Genomic DNA, 19797 nt, shown 5'->3' with positions numbered 1-19797 from the left:
CTGCCCGCCTCAGCTTCCCAAAGTGCTCGGATTACGGGTGTGAGCCACCATGCCTGCCCTGCCATGTCTTCTTTATCTTCCCAAGCAGCTGTTTTAGTCTCCTGGATTCTGATGTTCTACTGGTGTCCTTCTTATCCACGTTGCCCAGGAATCCCTCAGGAGATAGGCAGGGAAGCTTAGCAGGTGGGGGCAGGTCATCTCTATTCCACCTCTATTGCCGGGGAGGGGTTGGTGGCAGCAGCAGTGGTGGTCCTGACAGTTTTCTTTCACTGGACCTGTGGCCGGCAGCTCTGGGTGGAGTATAGCTACTTGATGCAAGAGCTTCAGGATCCTTGGGCTGCATCTCCTTCCCCCGCATTAGCAAGCCTGGAGAGCTGGGCAGGTGGTCTTTACCCAACACCTTCAAGGCTGCCTTCTCTGGCCACAGGGAGCAGCCCGGAACTGGGAAAGGGATTATTATCCTTAATATTATCCATAATATTCCAAAAGTTCTCAAAAATTGGTAAGAAAAGGCACAACATCCCAATGGGAAAGTGGCACCACACACTCTGGACTGTTTCCGCTGCTCAGTGGCCTGAGTATAAGTGCAGCCAGTGCTTGTCTGCCTCTCCTCTCCCCTGCCTGTGATGCCCCCTCAGAAGGTGTCTCCCCATTTTTTCTATCAGTGCTTCACTGATAGAAAAATGCCGCACTTCCCACGCAAGGCTCTAGTTCCAGACATGCTACCAGAATTCTCGGGAACCCCCCTCCTCTCCCCTGAAAACCCCGCCCTTGCACATTAGATATCCTGGTTTTCCTGTTGGGGTCCCATTATGGCATCATCAGCAGATGGGGCACAGTCTCCTGAGGCCTGGGAGGAATCTGTCCCAGAAACCAGGGTGTGGGGACTTCTGACTAAATCAAGGGAAGGTTTTCATGGAGAAAGTCAACAAAAAGTGAACATTCTAATTTCAAAAATAGTCTCCTCATTGCACTTCAAATTAAGGGACTTGGAAAAAGGGGAGCAGTGAGCTGTGTGTTTAATGGGTTCAGAGTCTGATACTGGGATGATGAGAAAGTTCTTGAGATGAATTGACGGTGATGGTGAGAAAACAATGTGAATAAACTTAACGCCAATAAACCCTGTACTCAAAAATGATGAAAATGGTAGTTTCTGTTAAATCTGTTTTACCTCAATAAAAAGTAAATAAAGTTTTGTTCCCAGTGGGCAGGTAAGTAGGGGAAACTCTCTTGCCACCTCTTGGCAAGAGCCTGAGAAACAGTTGGGCTCCCCAGCAGTGTGAGCTCTTCTGAGGGCAGTGGTGACAGCCCGAGAGACAGTTGAGTGTAGCAAGGGCAGGTGCAGGTCCCTGGTCCCAGAATGTGAGTGTGGCGAGCCAGCCTCAACTTCTGCCTGCCTAGGAGGCATCCTAGGAGGTGAGCCTGAGTGAGCAGGGGTGAGCTCTGTGTGTCCTGTGTGCAGCAGCAGATTATCTGTCCGCCCGTGCAGAGACGGGAGAAAGCCATGATGATGGGACCTGGTTTGGCTGAGAATCCCCAAAGGCCCAGGAGCTCCTTAACCTTACATTAAAACACAAAAGAGAGTTCAGCAGAGGCCACCACACCCGGCTAATTTTTGTATGTTTAGTAAAGACAGGGTTTCACCATGTTGGCCAGACTGGTCCCGAACTCCTGACCTCAGGTGATCCACCTGCCTCCGCCTCCCAAAGTGCCGGGATTACAAGCATGAGCCACCACGCCCAGCCTTCATTACCCTTTATTACTCATTTTTTTATTATTGTTTGTCTCTGCCTATCAACCATTGTGCTCATCACTCACCTGACAAATATCACATCTTGAGTAGATACTTGTAGAATGAATGAATATGATTTTGCTTCAAGACCTAAGGAGTGGAGGCAATGGTGGACTACTAGAACAGGTGTCTCTAAGTGTGTTTGTATAAGACATTCTAGACCTCTAGAATGTCTCTTCTACTAGAACTCAGCCTTGATGACCTTATGCCCAGCGATGGAGAGCATTCATGAAGCATTTAAGGAGGCTGGCCTGCAGGGAAGCAGTCTTGGACAAGTTCAACCTGCCCCCATGCCACTTCAACAATCAAAATTTTTATCACACCTCCTTGCTTCCTTTACTCCTTCAAAAAGCACAGAGTTTTTCATGGGGTTGCACATCGTTCATTTTACAAACACTATTAACATCATTTCATTAAAAATGACATCCTAACCCCAATTAACTAAGAAATACATAATGCAGAATAAGTAGCAGTTTGCCCTAAGACCATTAGCAACATTCAGGGACATATACATTTTCCTCAGTTTCTTCATTGTGCTAATGGGCAGTGAAGAGTTGGTGTTTGAGAACTCCTCAGATATTTGGTGTGCTATCGGGCATTGCTGAAAGCAGGAATCTTAGCGGCTGGGAGTCACTGTGTGGGCAGAGGAGGAGAGGAGACAGAGACTGTGTGGAGAGGTGAGGCTCTGTGCTGTCAGTGAGGGCTGTTCTCTGCCCCCATCTCTTCCAGTCCCTTTTCATCTCTGCCATCCCAGGAATGATGGAAGTGCCTGAGGAAGACTACCTGGGCTTCCTGATGAGTTACTGGCAGACTGCCTCTGTGGGACAAGAGGGTCACCTGCAAGCCAGACAGTCCAAATCCTCCCTGAAACACATCACTCTCCACTCACTGCTTACCAATTCCCTTCAAGGCTGCTCCAGCTGCACATTTTTAAAAGTTGTTCTATTCAATGAGAAGACATAGACACAGGGAGGGGAACATCACACACCGGGGCCTGTTGGGGGTCAGGGGGTCAGGGTCAAGGGGAGGGAGAGCATTAGGACAAATACCTAATGCAGGCAGGGCTTAAAACCTAGAAGATGGGTTGATAGGTGCAACAAACCACCATGGCCCATGTATACCTATGTAATGAAACTGTACATTCTGCACATGTATCCTGGAACTTTAAAATAAAATAAAAACTTTTTAAAAAGTTGTTCTATTAAGATATGGTCTGTGGTTTGGGAAAATGGTGACTCATTGTCCTGTTCTTAGAGAAATATTTCATTTTGTAGGGATGACTGGCCCAGGGGCCCAAAATCTCACTGTCAGTCTGCTCTGGTTCTTCAGCAAATGCTTTGAATCAGGGTTGATGGTGGCAAAAATTGGTAGTCAACACCTTCAGCATCGTGGTCCTTCCCTTGCATCACTGGCCAAGCTTCACTCTGGTGAATTCCACATATAAGGCTTGCCCAGCCCTGTCTCATTCTCTTGGATGAGCCACAGCCATGCTACCCACCAGGACCAGGCACTTCCTCTGCACACTCTGTGGATAGCAGTCATTTCCCTGAATCCATGAAAGCATCATCCGCTTAAACCACTATTTCTTAGTGTTGTTTTTTGCAACTTTGAATTCCACAATTTCTGTTTCATTCTCTGCATAAATTGGAGAATACTTGTGAAAATTCCTTATCTCACAGTCCATTTTCTGTAACATTAGTCTTAGCCCTTTTAAAATCCTGGGCCTTGCTCTCTTGAAGTTTTTCTGGGGTTGAGGCCAGTGGGATGGCAAAGCTGCTGTCACTGAGGTATGGCCTGGAGAGTCCTTGGGTGCCTGGGGGAGAAGGCAGGGCCACCAGCATGGGAGCCAGGAATAGGGGACGACTCCAGGGGATGAAGCCCAAGGAAGACTCAGCATGTCAGGTGCAGATCAGCGCAGGATGAGGCCCTGAAGTGTGGGTGACCAGCCACTCACAGGGGGAATGAGGCTCTTTGGCCCTATTTCTCATGGGGCTGGTATGTGGGGCCCCAGGTGTCCCTGTGCTCAGAGCCTCAGCTTGCAGGGAGCCCCTGTCAGCCCCTCCATGGGAGTTGGGAGTTACAGGGGGCCATGAGCAGCTCTCCTGGGGGAAGTTCCTTGTCCTGGGATGGGGGCATCCCTCCCTCAGGCCCCACCTGTCCTTTTGGGCTCCAAGCACAGAAAGTTGCAATCTCGGTCTTCACATGGAGACCAAATGTGTCCCAAGCCAGGCTGCAGCACACACATGAGGGCTTAGGTAAACAGGCCAAAGCCCACTGCTCCCCCTGACAAGGGCAAATGTAACAGAAAACGAAGTGGACAGACTTCAGAGAATGTCGGGGAGCTGCCCCAGAGGTGGAAGCCAGGAACGCGGGACAGCTGGTGCCTGACTGAGGGTGCCCATCACCACAGCCCACGTCCTCGTGCATTTCCACAGGGTAAGTCTGGCTCCAGCATTTGCTCTGGAATAATAGGGCCCCACAGCACTGACGATCATGACCACCTGTCTGCCAGAGAGATGCGAGAGAGACTGAGGAGAAGAGTGCCCTGTGTGATGCTCCCTGGGCCAACTGACAGGAAAGGGCCTCTCGGGCACGCAGGCCCCAGACTCAGCATTTGTATCTGGCTCATGAGCCTGATGACTCTGGGCAGCAGAGTAGCACACAGTGGACGCATGCTCTATATTGAGTTAGGCAGGCCAGGAGCTGACTGCTGACAATTGGCCTGGCCACATCCTTGCACTTCACTGTACAAGAGTCTCAGGGTGGAGTGAAGTGAGCTCTGAGACCACACCACAGAAAATTCATTGCTGGGAAGACCAAGCATGCCCAGGACAGCTATATAGAATGTGGTTGTTGGGTCCCTCACACCATCTAAAGCAGAGGCTCTTAAATAGCTGGGGTTAGGACACTCCCAAATCTTCACTGAAATTTCCAAGCCCATCACAGACTCCAAATTTTGCTAGATTGCCTGAAGGTCCATGGACTCCTGGACAAGAACACCCTGTACTGCTCAGCAAAGTTGCCATGTCAGAGCCACGAGGTCAGGAATTCAAAACCAGCCTAGCCAAGATGGTAAAACCCCGTCTCTACTAAAAATACAAAAATTAGCCAGGCTTGGTGGCAGGTGCCTGTAATCCCAGTTACTCAGGAGGCTGAGGCAGGAGAATCACTTGAACCTGGGAGGCAGAGGTTGCAGTGAGCCGAGATTGCGCCACTGCACTGCAGCCTGGGTGACAGAGTGAGACTCCATCTCAAAGAAAAAAAAGATTATACATCATGACCAAGTTGGATTTATACTTGGAATGCAAGGATGAGTGAAGATACAAAAATCAATCAAGTCATACACCACATTAATATAATGAAAGACAGAAACCACATGATTCAGACAAAGCATTCAACAAAATTCAACACCATTTCATGATTAAAAACACTCAACAAACTAGGAATAAAAGGAAAATACTACCACATAATAAAGGCCTTACATGAAATGCCCACAACTAACATTATGTTTACTAGTGGAAGACAAAGCTATTCCTCAAAGTACAGGAGAAAGTCAAGGATGCCCACTCTTGCCACTTCTATTCAACGTAGTACTGGGCCAGAGCAATTAGACAAGGAAAAGATATATAAAAGGCATTCCAGTTGGAAAGGAAGAAGTAAAATTATTTCTATTTACAGATTATATGGTTTTATATGTAGAAAACCCTAAAAATTCCACCAAAAACCTGTAAGAACTAATAAATGATTTCCGCAAAGTTACAAAATGCAAAATTAACACACAAAAATCCATTGCAGTTCCATACATTAGCAATGACCAATATGGAAAGGAAATTAAGAAGAAAATTTCAGACCAGGTGCGGCAGCTTACACTTGTGATCCCAACATGTTGGGAGGCTGAGGCAGGCGGATCACTTGAGGCCAGGAGTTTGAGACCAGCCTGGCCAACATAGTGAAATCCTGTCTCTACTACAAAAACAAACAAATAAACAAACAAACAAACAAAAACAAAAAACCCACAATTTTATTTATAATAGCATGAAAAAGAACAAAATACTTAGAAATAAACTTAACCAAGGAGGCAAACAACTTGGACACTAAAAATTACAAAACAACAATGCTACAAGAAATCAAAGAGTATATAAATAAATGAAAAGACATCTCCATGCATGTGGATTTGAAGACTTAATATTGTTAAAATGTCCATATTACCTAAAACAATTTACAAATTCCATACAATCCCTATTACAGCATTATTCACAGTAGCCAAGAGATGCAATCCAAATATCCATTGGTGGATGAAAGGATAAAATATGGTATATACATACAATGGAAGACTAAGCAGCCTACGGAAAGAAGGAAATCATGTCACATGCTAGAACATGGATCAATCTCAAGAACATTATGCTAAGTGAAATAAGCCAATCACAAAAGGACAAATACTTTCCCTTCATATGAAGTATTTAAGGTAGTCGAAATCACAGAAACATAAAGTAGTGGTTGCCAAGGGCCGGGGGTGGGAGTAGGGGGAAAATTAGTATTTAATGTGTACAAAATTTCAGTTGTGAAAGATAAAAAATTTCTAAAGATCTAAATTTCACAATGATGTGAATATACATAACATTACTAAATTGTACAATTTAAAATGTTTAAGATGGTTTTTAAAAAAGGAAAAAGCATAGGAATAAATTTCATGACCTAAGACTAGTTAACGGTTTCTTAAACATGACATCAAAACCACAAGTAACAAAAGAAAAAATAGATAAATTGGACTTCATCCAAAGTAAAAACTTTTGTGCTTCAAAGAGTACCATCAAGAAAGTAAAGGACAACCCACAGAAGGAGAATATTTCTGCAAATTATATCTTGTAAAGCATTTTTATCTGGAATATATAAAGAATTCTTATAACTCAATGACAAAACACAAACCAGTTAAAAATTACTAAATGTTGAGTACACATTGCTCCAAAGAAGATATACAAGTGGCGAATAGGTACGTGAAAGAGGTTCAACATCAGAGAAACACAAATGCAAACTACGATGAGATGCAACTTCAGAACCACTAGGATGACTTTATCAAAAAGAGAGTTGATAATAAATGTTGGCTCGAATATGGAGAGACGCTGGGACCCTCACACAGCTAGTGGGTATATAAAATGGTTCATGTACACTGGGAACAGTCTGGCACCTTCTGAAATGGTTAAACACAGAGTTTCCATATGGTCCACCAATTTCACTCTTAGGTATGTAGCCATGAGAAATGGAAACATACATCCCCAGGAAACCTTGTACACAAATGTTCTTAGAAGTGTTATTCACAATAGCCAAAAAGTGAAAAAAACCCAAACGTTCTTAACTGATAAATGGATAAATTTTAGTATATCCATTAATGGAATATTATTCAGCAACAAAAAGGTTTGATGTAATGATACATACTAAAAATGTAGATGCCATTGGAAATATTATTCTAAGTGAAAGAAGACAGATGTGAAAGACACACATTGTATATTCCATTCATAGGGCATCATGCAACGCTGAAGTTAGAATCAAAGTGAGCTACAAAAGGGCAGCCACCTGGATCAAGTCCATCCTCATAGCTGTCAGAAAGCACAGCATGTTCACTAACGGGGGCAAGCCTTGCTCACGTTGTCAGATGGAGTTTCCCAGGAGGCTATGGCTTCTTCGGGGATCTGTCATCCAATGGTGAAGGGAGGGGTCTCTGGAGGCAAACCTGCCAGGGGCCACCCCAGCCGCACTGGTTCCCAGAGAGTGACCTGGGTGTGTGAGCAGGGAGGCCAAGCCGACCAAGAGCCTCAGCACACCCCCAGCACCTGCTGTGAGCAAGCTGCATGGCTTCCCCAAGTGTGGATGCGATGACATCATGGGTATTTACAGATTCCTTTTCACTGTGTCCCAGGCTCTCCTGGTTCATGTGTGATACACTGCACTTGGGGTGGAGGTGTGCTGACAGTTGTAAAGGGCTGAGCCTTTCTTTCCCGTGGCTCTGATGCACGGTTTCCAGATACCAGTCATGAAGGAAGTTCTTGAGATTATGGACTTTGTCCTAGTCACATAGGGCTGCTCGGACAAAGGGCCATAGACTTGGGGGTGGTGGCACATATTAAAAAAAGAAATGTATTTGTCACAGTCTGGAGGCTGGAAGTCCGAGGTTAGCATCCCAGTGGGCAAGGTTCTGGTGAGGGCTCTCTCTCTGGCTTGCAGATGGCCGCCTTCTCAGTGTGTCCTCGTGTCAGGGAGAGAGAGAGCTCTGGGGTCTCTGCTTCTTACCAGGGCCCTAATCCCATCATTAGGGCCCCACCCTCATGGTCTCTTCTAACCCTGAATAACTCCCAAAGGCCCCATTTCCAAATACCATCACGTTGGGGGTTAGGGCTTCAGCACAGGAACTGGGCGGGGGACGTATGTTCAGTCTACCAGAGCCCCCCAGTCAGCCCCACTGTGCCCATTTAGGGGCAGATTGTAGGGCTCAGGTGGGACACAGAGGTGGAGGAAGCACAAGTTCTGCTTCCTAGGAATGGCTCAGCCAAGACAAGGACAGGGACAGTGGGATAGACAACAGCCAGTGGGGTAACCAGCAGGAGCCCCAAGGTGTCACTTTCACCCTTAGGTGAGGAAGTTGGCTGGGCACCCACACACGCCAGAGTATGGACCATGTTCCCTTCAAACACGGCTCACTTAACATTCCTAAACCCTGCAAAGGGGCAGTGCTACCTTATCTCCTGAGGATGGCCGTGAATGTAGAGGAGTCACGGGAGCTGCCCACATCACCCACCAGTGACTCTTCGCTCCCCACATTTTCCCCGAGGGCCTGACGTGCACTGAGCTGGGGAAGCCCTGCCAAGATAAACTCTCCTTCCCAAAGGCCACAGAAGACAGCAGGCCTCCGACACTGCCCACATCGAGCAGAAGGGACGGGGCAGAGGGGCATCTGTCAGGCTGACTGCTGTGTTCTGTGGGCAGATGGGGCCAGAGAGGACCCAAACATGGCTCCCTTTGTCACTTGGCCGAGGGGCCAGGCCACCGTGTACCAGACAGCTTTGCCCCACCAGCCTCTGCTGCTGGGCCAGCCCCCAGGGCCGTGACCACAGCTCTGCACGCAGGCAGTGCTGGGACCAGTGCCCTGGCAGTCACAGGGGTCCTGAGCCAATAAGCGCCCTGGGGGAGGAATCAGAACTCAGACCGTGGAGAAGAAGGTGTTGGCCAGGAGGGAACCAGGGTGGGTGCCGGGTCCTGTCCACGCTGGGATCTGAGATTCTAAGAGGTGGGTTAGGGGTAAGGGGGGCAGAGTTGGCCCATGGGGTGAGGGCAGTTCAGCAGAGATTGGGAAGACAGGACAACCTGGGAAAGAGCAGAGCATCCTCCCCAGCCTCGGTCCCTCTCCTGATGCAGTCCTCATCTCACTCATAGACTCTGGAAGTCTCCCTTTGGCGAACACCTAGCCCCCAACTCCCAGGGCACTTCCCAGACAGCCAATGCCACATCCCAGGCAGCCCCTGCTCTGCCCTTGGGGTCTGTGCCTGGCAGAAGGGCGGCTGACCCTCGGCCCCTCTTGGCCTGGGCCCCAGCTCCTCCGGGCCCTGGAACCAGCAGAAACCCCCACCCTGCGCCTGATGGACTGGACATGCTTGTTCCCATTGGTGATGGTGTGTTGGGAGGGAACTGTTTTAGAAACCAATGTAAATCTGTGTCTACATCAATTCCACATGAGTTCAGTCATCATATGGGAAGGGAATCATAGCTGTGGGGGGCTCCATGCAGGACCTTGAGGGCCCCGAGGCCAGTCCCTGTGGCCACAGCAAGGAGCATCTGCTTTAGCTAGTTGGACAAGACTCTCTCCTGCCCAGAAACAGGCAGAAGGACTTCCCCTGCTCCCCACCCATCATCGTATCCCAAACACACCTGTGTGGATGGTCACCTCAACGTCTCCCCTCAGCCCAGTGCCCGCGCTCTTCCTGATGAGGGTTAAGCAGGAGCAGCCTCCTCTCCCCATGTCCATGTTGCAGGCGGCTGCCTTCTCCTCAGCTCCCACCGAGCAGAACAAGAGCCAGCCAGCTCTCTCCAATCCCAGGATTTTCCAGGGATGCTGATAACGATGAGGGGGCCCCAAGAAGCCTCCCTAAAGCAGGCAGGGCCTTGTGAGTGGGTGGTGGGAGGGATCAGGGCTTCCTCAGCATCTGTCAGTCCCTGGAGCATCTGAAGGGGCTCCCTACGTCAGGAGGAAAGAGTGGGGCCGGCCTCTGTGGGTTCCCAGAGCCTGGCATCTGCCAGTTCCTCTGCCCTCCCTCACAGACACCCTCCACGGAGCAGCACAGCACCGAGGACAGAGGCAGCAGCCCCAAGAGCATTTTCCAAGACAACTACATTTATTCACACTTACACACGAGGCCCCCAACACACTGCTTCCCACCCCCACTCCCCAGCCCCTTCCCCCCAGACCCTCCCTTCCTGCCCTCCCCATTCAGGCCACCCTCTCCCTCCCCTCCCTCCCCTACCCTCCAAAGCTAAGGCCCAGCAAGATCAGCACTGGGGGAGAAGAAGCTTTTGACCGCTTTGGGGCATCGGATGCCAGAGCCCCATCCTTGGGGATCGGCCCCAGAGAGCCTGCTCAGAAGCCCCTACTGGCTACAACGCTGCTTCTTCTCCTTCCTGGAGACCAAGGGGTCACCCTTTCTCTTTTGAGACTGTGAGGGGCCACCCAGCCCCCAAGTCAGGGATTGCTCCCCAGAGACCCTGAGCCCAGGCCCTGGGTGGGGTGTCTTTTCAGCAGGGGACAGGCTTCCAAAGAGAGGTCGCTTCTTGGCCTTGTTGGCAGGAGAAGGTGCTAGGTTGAGGCCTCTTCTCTCAGCAGATGGGGACTGATGAGTTCCCTGGGGTCCCCACTTTTCTGGGCTGAGAAGGCCCGAGGCAGGGACAGGGCTCTGGGGTAGCCACCAGGGCAGAAGCTTGTGCTGGGAACCCAAGAGGAAGGCCAGGCTGGGGAGTTCCTCCTCCTCACTTGACCCCTGAGCCAGCCCATGTGACTCCCTGACAGGAGACCCTCCAGGGAGATCCAAGGCATCCTTGGTACCCACGCCAGGGCAGGTGGGTCTGTGGTCCTGGGGAGGAGAGGTTGGCCGGGCAGCCCTCAGCCCAGGGGAATCCTGACATCCCAAAAGCACAACAGAGTCTTTGGACCTGGCCATGCCAGTGTGTGCTCTGCCTCGTCCCTGAGAGTCCCGGGCAGTCGTCTGGGGTGGGCAGGTTTCCATGCCAACCCCTTGTTGGGGGTCAGGGACGTCTCTCTCTGCTCCTTGGCCAGCTGCAAACTTAGAAGAACTTGAGTCCAACCGGGCTGTGCCACGACTAGGGGCTGCCCTCGCATGCTGTTTCTCCTTCAAGGGTAGGAGGCGCTTCTCCACTAGCTGCGGGAGGAAAGGGGGCACTTACGGGCACTGCCCCAGGTGTGAGCGGGGCCCAGGGTGGTGGAGACCAGGGCACTTAGGCGGCAGGTAGGGAAGCCTGAGGCAGCTGGGCTTTATGTCAAAGAGAGAGGGTGTGGCTCTGCCGGGCCTCCCGTTGGGCCTCACCACAGCTTGCATGCTGACTCCCCTCCCTGGCTCCTGTCCATCCTACTCCCTCTGAACCTGCATCTTCCCACTCCAGAGTGGCTCCCCAAGAAGCCGAGCATCCCCAGCGGGGGGGATTAGACAATCAGGTGGGCCTTGTGTGCCAGGTCCCTCCTGCCCCTGGGGTACCTGGGCAAGGGTGAGTCCTTCCTCCTGCTCCAGCTCCTGGCTTAGGGCCAAGAAATCCATCTGTGGATCTGGGGAAAGCAATTCTTCCAGGAATTGGGGATGAATGACGGCCTCCACCTGGAAACAGAAGGAAGAAGGCGTGAGCTTCCTGGGCAGGGAGTAACCTGGAGCCAAGGACACCTGGAGGAGATGCAGAAAGCAGCGAGCGCCCCGTCCCCACCCTCCTGGGGCTGTCTCATATCATGGTGACCACCAGCTACAGACACAGACCACAGACCTGGTAGCTACACACACACAGACAGAGACACACAAACCACACACAGACACACAAACAGACCCACATATGACACAGGAAAAGACACAGACACAGGTAACGTACACACTCCACACTCACACCCACACAGACACACAAAGACACACAGTAACAAACCACAGACACAAACACACAGCAACACACAGACACACACAATCACATACACAGACACTCAAATCCTTGGAAATACACACACTGCTGAGTAGCTAAGGAACAGAGCTTAATTCCAAGGACCTGGGAGTGCCACCCCCTGGAATCCAGCAGACCCCAGCACTCCAGGCCAGCCCACCTTGGTGACGAAGTCTTTCTGGGAACACAGCTTGTCAGTGTAGCTCAGGAGGCCCGGGTCTGGGGGCGTCCAGTCCTCTTCCTGTGGCTGCTTCACTTCGCCCTCTTCCCGTTGTTTCTCGGGCTCCCCCGTGGCCCCGAGAGAAGGCCCCAGCAGCTCCTCCATGATGTCCACATACTCCTGCACCACTTCTGGGGGGATCTCCTCAGGGACCTTGGTCTCTGCTGGTCTCTGGGGCCTGGGTGGTGGCAGGCGGGCCTTGGTCTCTGCTCGCCGGTGGGGCCGGGGTGGTGGCCGGCGGGCCTTGGTCACTGGCCTCTGGGGCCTGGGTGGTGGCAGGCAGGCAGTCGGGGCCTTGGGGCCGGCCTTGCTGGGAAGGTACACTGAGGCAGAGAGGGAGGAGGACGGGCGTGGTGAGGGCCGCTCCTCCTGCTGGCACCACACAGGGGAGGGCAGGGCTTGGGGATGTGAAGTGGGTCCCAGCTGGGTCAGGACCACCTGAACCGCAGCACCCCCGGAGGAGGCAGGAGGGGCACATCTGAGACAGCATCGCTTGGGAGGAAGTTTGGAGCCACCAATATGCCGTGTACTCTCCCCGCTCATCCCTGCTTCCTGGGCAGAGCATATGTGGAGTTTTGGACAGGCGAGGGGAGAGAGTAGCTAGGAAACTTGACCAGGTCAATACCGAACATATGCTCCTGGAAACTGTCCTGTTGGAGGGAGCAAATCCCCCTCTCGAAGGGAAGCATGGGGTGTGGGGACAGTGGCCTCCCTTGGCCCCTTTGGCCTTTGCCATGGCTCCTGTGGGAATGTGGGAAGCCATACCTGGCTGCTTGACCACCTCAGGGGCCGGGGGTCCTCGAGGTTCAAGCCTCGGTGTGGCTGGAGGAGGCAGGCACTGGGGCCCCTTCATCCATTGCGATTTCTGAATCTGCATCTCCTCCTCAGCCTCAAACTCCAGGAACCTGGCGGTGAAGGAGGCCCAGGCTGTGCTGAGAGGGTCCAGGCCCCCTCCCCCCAGGACCAGGCAGCGGCCGAGGGCAGGGATGGGAGGGAGTGCCTCGGGTGGGCTGTCCAGGCCCTCACTGTGTCCCATCCCCCAGTCCCAGGAGAAAGCTGCTCCCAGAGTTCTGGGCTCACCCTCCCTCACCCGGCCCCTGCAGAGCCCATGGCATCAACGGGGCTTCCTGACTCAACTCAGGGCCACGAGGTCCAGGAGGGTCTCGGGGGACCCCTCCTCCAGGTTTCAGCTGGCCAGGGGTGGGATTTATGGCAGAAGGCATCAGGGATGATGCCCAGATGCAGGAGTCCTGAGGCTAGGACTGTGGGCCCCTGAAAGATAACCCAGGGGCACGAGGCCTGGGAGACCCCTGGTCAGGAGGAAGCAAAAGCTGAGCTCAGAGGACAGGGCCCCTTTCCCCTGAGGCTGCTGTCTATCTGTCTGCCTTCATGGAGGGGACTGCCCAGGAGCAAAGGCAGTCAGGCCAGAGATGGGTCCCATGGTGTCCCAGGTGCAGGTCTCCCCAACCCAACTCCCTGGCCAGGCTGGGATGGGAGAAAACCGACTTCTGGCCACTGCTGTGAGGAGCCTGCACCCTACTCTTGTCCATAGTCACTAGCGCCCCTTCTCCCCATCCCCACAGCTGGAGGTGACCCACTTTGGTCTGTGATGCTGGCTGCTCCTGCCATGACCTCCAGTGTCAAGGCAGGGATGGCCCCAGGCCAGGCAGGGGGTGCTTCCCAATAGGCCAGGACAGAGACCCCAGAACACTCTAGGTGGCAGGAGCAGCTTCCTGAGGGAGCCAGGGGCCCAGAGTGTCCTGGGTTTCTCCACACCCTCCTCATACTCCACGTTGAGAAGCCACCATGGCCACCGGGCCTCTGTCATTCACTCTCACCCTGCCACGCGGGCCCCGCTCCCAGGACCCCAGACTCACTTTTCCGCCATCTCGTAGAAGATCATCCGGTCAAAGTTGCTCGTGTGCTGCCATTCCCGCATGGCCCGCCACAGTCCCTCCTCCAGGGTCATGGTGGGCTTCCGCCGGGCCAGGGATCGGAGAACTGGGCTGTAAACCAGTGCAGTCAGTCTCAGTCTATAAGCCCACCCTTCATCCCAAGCCCACCTGGTCCCAACACCTGGCCCCTGTCCTCCCCACACCTGTCCTGCCATCTGTCCCTGTCCTGTTCTCCCCCATGTGGGCTCCTCAGGCCCCAGGACACACCCCCAAGATCAAACATCAACACAAGCTACCAAGTGGCCTCTCCGACTGCCCCTCGAGTCCTCAGTGTTGAGAAGTGGACTCAGTACTATGGGTGGAACATGTGTGTCTCCAACATTCCTGTGCTGAAGTCCTCAGCACCAGTGTGTCAGTATTTGGAGGCAATCAGGGTTAAAGCAGGTCATGAGCGTGGGTCCCAGTCATGGAATCCAAGCCCTGATAAGGGCAGAAGGAGACGCCAGGGCTCTTGCTCTCAGCCACGAGGAGACATAGCCAGAGACAGCTCTCTCCAGCCAGGAGGAGGGCCCTGACCAGATACCCAATCTGCTGTCACCTTGATCTGGGACTTCTGGCCTCTGGAACTGGGAGACATGAATGTGTCTTGATAAAGCACCCAGTCTACGGCATTCGTTACGGCAGAGCCTGAGCTGACTGAGACAGCGTGCACACAGAATGACCTGGGGGTGAGGGTTAAAGTGCAGGTTCCAGGGCCCCAAGACTGAGCATTTAACCGGCTTCCTGGGGACTCTGGAGCAAGGCAGCCCCTGGGGACGTAGCCTCAGGGCCCTGGAGCATGAGGAGCAGGAGCACACGTCCAGAACCAAAGCAGAGCGGTGTCCACGCCACTGCAAGCAGCAGGTCCAGATCCCACATTCCCACAGGAGCCATGGCAAAGGCCTGTGAGCCTGGGGCAGCTCCACCCCAAGAATCAGGGTCCCCAGTGCACCGGGACTCCGCTCCAAGGAGGAATGCAACCAGTTCCAGGGTGCGGGAACAGCGAGATTTTGGGGGATGAAAATGGGGCCACCTTCCACCTACACCCCAGGCAGGGGACTTCCCTAGGGGAACGGCCAGTGTGTTGCACGGTGGATGTGCTCAAGCTCCCGTTTGCTCATCAGCGGGAAACACAGGGTCACAGAGGCACCGCAGGGTGGAGAGAGGCAGGGACTGGGAATGAAACCACAAACTCTCCCAGATGCTGACGTTGCTGCCTCACAGTCACCACAGTCCATGGCCCTGGGCTGCTGGACTCATGGTGCACTCAGAGCTATCACTGGAGCCCGTGGCTTTGGGGAGTGCTCTCCTAGATGGCCTAGTCTTGATAATGATAGTAATGGGGACAGTAATCATAACTGCTATCATGTAATGTGTCATAGCATGTGCCAGGCACTGTGCTATGCATGTCATATGTGAGCTCAAGTTATCTCTTCACCATCCTCTGAATGAAGCATCATTGTCCCTTTTTCTAGGAGGGATTGAGGGTGAAGATGCAAATACCTGCCCGGCATCGGCCCCAGTGCAGGACCCAAGACCATCCCCCTGTGCAGGCTCCACCACCGCTGTGCTAACTGGACCTCAGCGGAACTGCGGGCATGTGCCAGGTTCCTGCTGGGCCCTGCAGCTCCTTCCCCCGGCCCCATGTGAGGTGCTCCTGGCCATCAATACTGGGTTAAAGGGGAGGCACTGGGGTGTGTACTCAAAGACCTAAACCCAAACCGTAGCTCACGTCACACCAGGAACCCTCTCTGACCTGGGTCTTCTGTAAACATTGTTGTGAAAATTATTGAAAGTAAGGATTGGCTGGACTCACGAGACAGTGACGGGCAGTTGAGATGAGGCCCCTGACAGTCTGTCCTGAGCCGCAGCCAGATTAATATTGTTGAAAATGTACCTTCCCATAGTGCAGCCCATCACCCTCACAACCGCCCTGCAAGCTCCCCTGAACAGCGTGACCTCCCGTCCATCCAGCAGCCTCTTTACGTGTGAGCTGCAGGACCAGCTCCAATGCCCCCAGGACACTCACATGAGGAAGCACGAAAGCGCTTCGGTGTCAGGACTCTGGGGAAGGTGCCTCCGGGCCAGGGGCTTGTAGTGCTGCCAGAGTCGGAAGTTCTCATAGACACTCCTGGGGTTACAGGAGTCATCTGGCGGGGCCTTGGCCTGGGAGGAAGCCAGGCTGCCCTCTCCGTGAGCCCCTTGTGGCCATGGCCCAGCATTCCCTTGGGACACAATGGGGGGCAGCTGGGCAGCCGGTGGTGGTGGTGGTGGAAGAGGAAGGCCCTGGGACCAGCCTCCCTCACAGGCCTGGGTGCCCCCAACCACCTGGGCAGCCATAACAGGCACCACAGGAGCAGCTGCCAGGAGTAGGGGAGGTGGACACACAACACCTCCGCAGAGGGCGCCTGGAGCCTGCCAGACGAGGGGGGTCTGAGTTAAGACCAAGGTCTGCGCCTGAGCGGCCTTCACAGGCCCCACCTCTGTCCTCATCTGGACAAAGACGTTGGAAGCCCCGGCCCCACTCGGGCCGCAGCCATCCTGTTCTGTCACCAGAGGTGTGCTGGGGAAGTTAGACAGCACCAGAGGGCCGCCTGGAGGAGCCCCTGCAGTCACAAGGAGCGGCCCGTGTGCTGGGCCGGGAGCGGGTGTGGTGAAGGGCAGAGCCGTGAACACAGACAGGGAGGTGCCAGGGTTCGCGGTCACGCCCGGTCCCAGCGCTGGGTATGCTGTGGAGACAAAGGAAAGAGGTGAATGAGCTGGGGTCTCCAGGTCCACACTAGTCACTGGGGAATCAGAGGGGAGTCCCAACAGCTAAGGGCGTATGACAGGGAAACTGCAGCTTGCAAATGTCCCTGAGTGTGCATCGGATGCTCTGTTCCTCCACGGAGAGTCGCTCCACTAGAGAGCCTGGCCCCGGTCACCAAGACTCCCTGACCCCTGTCTCCCAAGAAGTAACAGCCAAGCCTTCGCTGCCCGAGGGTCTCCCTCGGGTGTCCCTGGCAGACCCTGTCAGCCTCACAGGCATCTCCCAAGCCATGGGTCAGGGATGAGTCTCTCAGCGGCTTGGTGGTCCTCAGCGTGCTCAGCAACAGGTGAGGGGCCTACCCCAGGGCAGTGCTCGGCACTCAGAAGGCCGACAGGAAGCCAGAAGCTTCCGAATATTATGGCCCCATCTCCTCTTCAATCTTCCTTTTCCTGACGCTCTTGTAAACCCCTTTCTTTCCCAGCTCAGACATAACAAAACAAAACCACTGGATGGAAATCTTTCCCAAGCCAGCGCCCTAGGAACCCTGAAGATAATCCATAACTGTCATGCCCAGCATGCAAGTGATTGTCCTGGCACCACCCACAGCAAGTGCTAAATAGGGGTCAGATTCGGGCCACCCTTTCCGCAGTACTCGATGGTCCCGGCTGCCACTCAGGAAGCTCTGTTCCCAGGGAGCAGGTCTGAGAGGCAGTGGTGGAGTCCCCTGAGACAGTGTCACTGCATAGCCAGCAAAAGCCACACACGATTAGAACACAGCCAGCAAATGGCGAGCAGCAGAGCTAACAGGGGAGGTGTCTAGGGATTTTCACAGCTGCTGGTCATGTTACAATAGGTAGTGGGACAAGGAGCCCATCCCTGGCCCTTCTCCTTTGAGCTCCCAATGACTGAACATAGTGACCAACCAAAAACCAGGGGTTCTTGGGCCATGGGCCGGGTGAGGCAAAGTTGTCTGGAACTCATCCCTGTTCAATAGGACCTCATGCAGTCTCTAGTCAAGGGGAATAAGGGATACAGCACATGCACCTCATCATTCAGGACACGTATCCTAACTTGAATAATAATAATAAGAGAACCATCTTCCTATTCGTGCGCTACTCTCCTTCCTCTACTGAAAAGGAAACCAGCCTTTCCAGACCCTTCCACTGAGAACCAGCAAGAATCCACACCTGCCCCCCGTTCATGAGGTAGTATAAATGGAATAGGAGCAAATTCTTCATCTCCACAGTAACACAAAGTGCAGAGGACAGGCCATGAGCTAGCAGACAAGAGGAAGTGGGTCTGAAGACCTGAGCTTCCACAAAAGGGCAAACAATTCAGAACAACTCAGGAAACCCAGGCCCTGTGTTGCCTGAACTTCCTCATCTGCCCCCACCCCTGTTAAATCAAAGCCAACAGCTACCTGAACTGATGGAGAAGCCATCTCTAGGGAGAGAGCTGAGGGGCTCTGGGCTGTGGCAGTTACAGCAGCCCCCAGCCTCGCCCACCCAGGGGCTGTCACTACATGCTCTGTCACAGCCAACCCACCCAACAGTTTTCTGGCTGAGACCACTTCTCCCCACTCCTCCCTAAGATCTAGAAAACTCCAGTCCAAATCTCTCTGAACACTATGGAAGGGCACCTTCCAGGTGCCTGAAGATATGGCACAGGGTTCAGGCTTGCCTATCATCCTCCCGGGGCCACCAGCACAACATGATCCCACCACTCCCTACAAACACACAATGACGTGACCTGTCTCCTTCTAGAAAGGATCAATCCATCCACTCTGTCCTTTCTCCTACACGGTGTATTCCCCCAGGCATCTTGTTCCACCTCTAAGGGGCCGTCCTCCCTAAACACAGACTCAGGGTGCCATGGCCATCCCCAGGTGTGATGTCCTTGGGGACATCCAGTCTTCCCTCCCTCCTCAACATCAGCCCTATCAACTGTCCCCGGGGCAGTGTCAAATTTGAATTCCTAAGGAGTTGAGGCATGGCAGACTCAGATAATGCCCCCATCCCTACAGGCTTACCTCCATTTGAAGCCATCCCCTCAGGCTGGGCACTGACTACCGCTGTCTGGCAGTTTCCACAATGAGAAAAGCCAAGGGTAAGACCCAGAGAGTGACCTGGCTCACCAGATGCTCCTGAGTCCAACTGAAACAGGAAAATTTGAAAGTAAACAGGTTCCTGGAACATAGGACCCCAGACATTCTGCAGAGGGGGAGGGGCAGTGGGCAGCTGTTAGGGGTGGGGGACATTCTGTGAAGGGCTTCGGCCATTAGGCAAGAACCTGAGTTTCCCTTCCAACTGGAAGGCAGCAGCAGAGATGGCGTGTGCCTCTTTAGGCAACTTTTAAATTGTCCTTCTGACTCACAGCAAAAGCTTCTACCTGATGGCCCCTTTACTTCCATTCTTTATCAGCAGACCTACTTTTGTGCCAATCAACCCATGCTCCTTCCCACTTTGGCTCTTTCCCAGTCTTGACGAATTTCAACAGCGGCCTCACTTCGTGAACAAAGTTCAAAACACATTTTCAGTCTGAGAAACACAGGGGTTCTTAGGAAGGCAAGGGGACTGGGTGTTTGAAATCAGGATGGTCTCAGCCGATCCAGACTATTAGGTGGCTGTGTGCTTATCATTGTTTAGGAAGCAATCCTTGTACCCCCAGGTCATGCATGTTGCTGGAATCTCTGTCCACACCAGCAGGCCAGCCTTACGTCCCAGCCCCTTTGCTGGAAAGCCTCAATCCAGGAAAGAGTGGCTATGTGACCTACAGCACCGAGACCAGAAATCCTTTCATTTTGTTTCCCAGCATATTGTGCTGGTGTTAAATATTTATGTTTTATCTTTTGAATGATTTTAATTTAACCAAGCAATACTTTTCATGGCTCCAAATTCAAACTGTGCAC

General features: G+C 53.0%; 1 protein-coding gene across 2 annotated transcripts, besides 1 other annotated feature; it reads right to left on the bottom strand.

The window, feature by feature from the left end:
- Positions 1-6654: 6654 nt before the first annotated feature.
- NUTM2D (NUT family member 2D) lies at positions 6655-19606 on the bottom strand. 2 transcript variants are annotated; one of them, NM_001009610.2, is made up of 7 exons: positions 18919-19606; positions 16170-16869; positions 14084-14212; positions 12972-13111; positions 12147-12529; positions 11545-11661; positions 6655-10016 (listed from the first exon to the last, which is right to left on the bottom strand). In NM_001009610.2, exons 1-7 carry the CDS (start codon positions 19082-19084, stop codon positions 9978-9980), a joined length of 1674 nt encoding a protein of 557 aa, NP_001009610.1. In that variant the 5' UTR covers positions 19085-19606; the 3' UTR covers positions 6655-9977. The 2 variants fall into 2 exon arrangements, with proteins under 2 accessions (NP_001009610.1, NP_001369233.1); NM_001382304.1 differs by lacking the exon at positions 6655-10016 and adding an exon at positions 10155-11211.
- Positions 16965-17466: an enhancer, noted in NCBI's record as "H3K4me1 hESC enhancer chr10:89119641-89120142 (GRCh37/hg19 assembly coordinates)". NCBI's record gives its function as "activates a minimal SCP1, AML or CMV promoter by ChIP-STARR-seq in primed H9 embryonic stem cells {active_cell/tissue: H9 hESC(primed)}" and the evidence as "EXISTENCE:reporter gene assay evidence [ECO:0000049][PMID:30033119]".
- Positions 19607-19797: the final 191 nt, after the last annotated feature.

The sequence above is a fragment of the Homo sapiens genome, chromosome 10 (assembly GCF_000001405.40).
Source record: "Homo sapiens chromosome 10, GRCh38.p14 Primary Assembly".
NCBI lineage: Eukaryota > Metazoa > Chordata > Mammalia > Primates > Hominidae > Homo > Homo sapiens.
The sequence above is the reverse complement of the archived record's forward strand: the minus strand, read 5'-3'. Positions and strand labels throughout refer to the sequence as shown.

Bases quoted from the DNA above. Each gene is read 5' to 3' on its own strand.
- NUTM2D (NM_001382304.1), bottom strand. From the start codon at position 19,084: ATGTTCCAGGAACCTGTTTACTTTCAAATTTTCCTGTTTCAGTTGGAC. The intron at 11,662-12,146 runs GTGGGCTGGCCT...TTCTGTTTCCAG, and splicing joins AGAAAGACTTCGTCACCAAG to GTGGAGGCCGTCATTCATCC. The intron at 11,212-11,544 runs GTACCCCAGGGG...TTCCTCCCGCAG, and splicing joins AAGGACTCACCCTTGCCCAG to CTAGTGGAGAAGCGCCTCCT.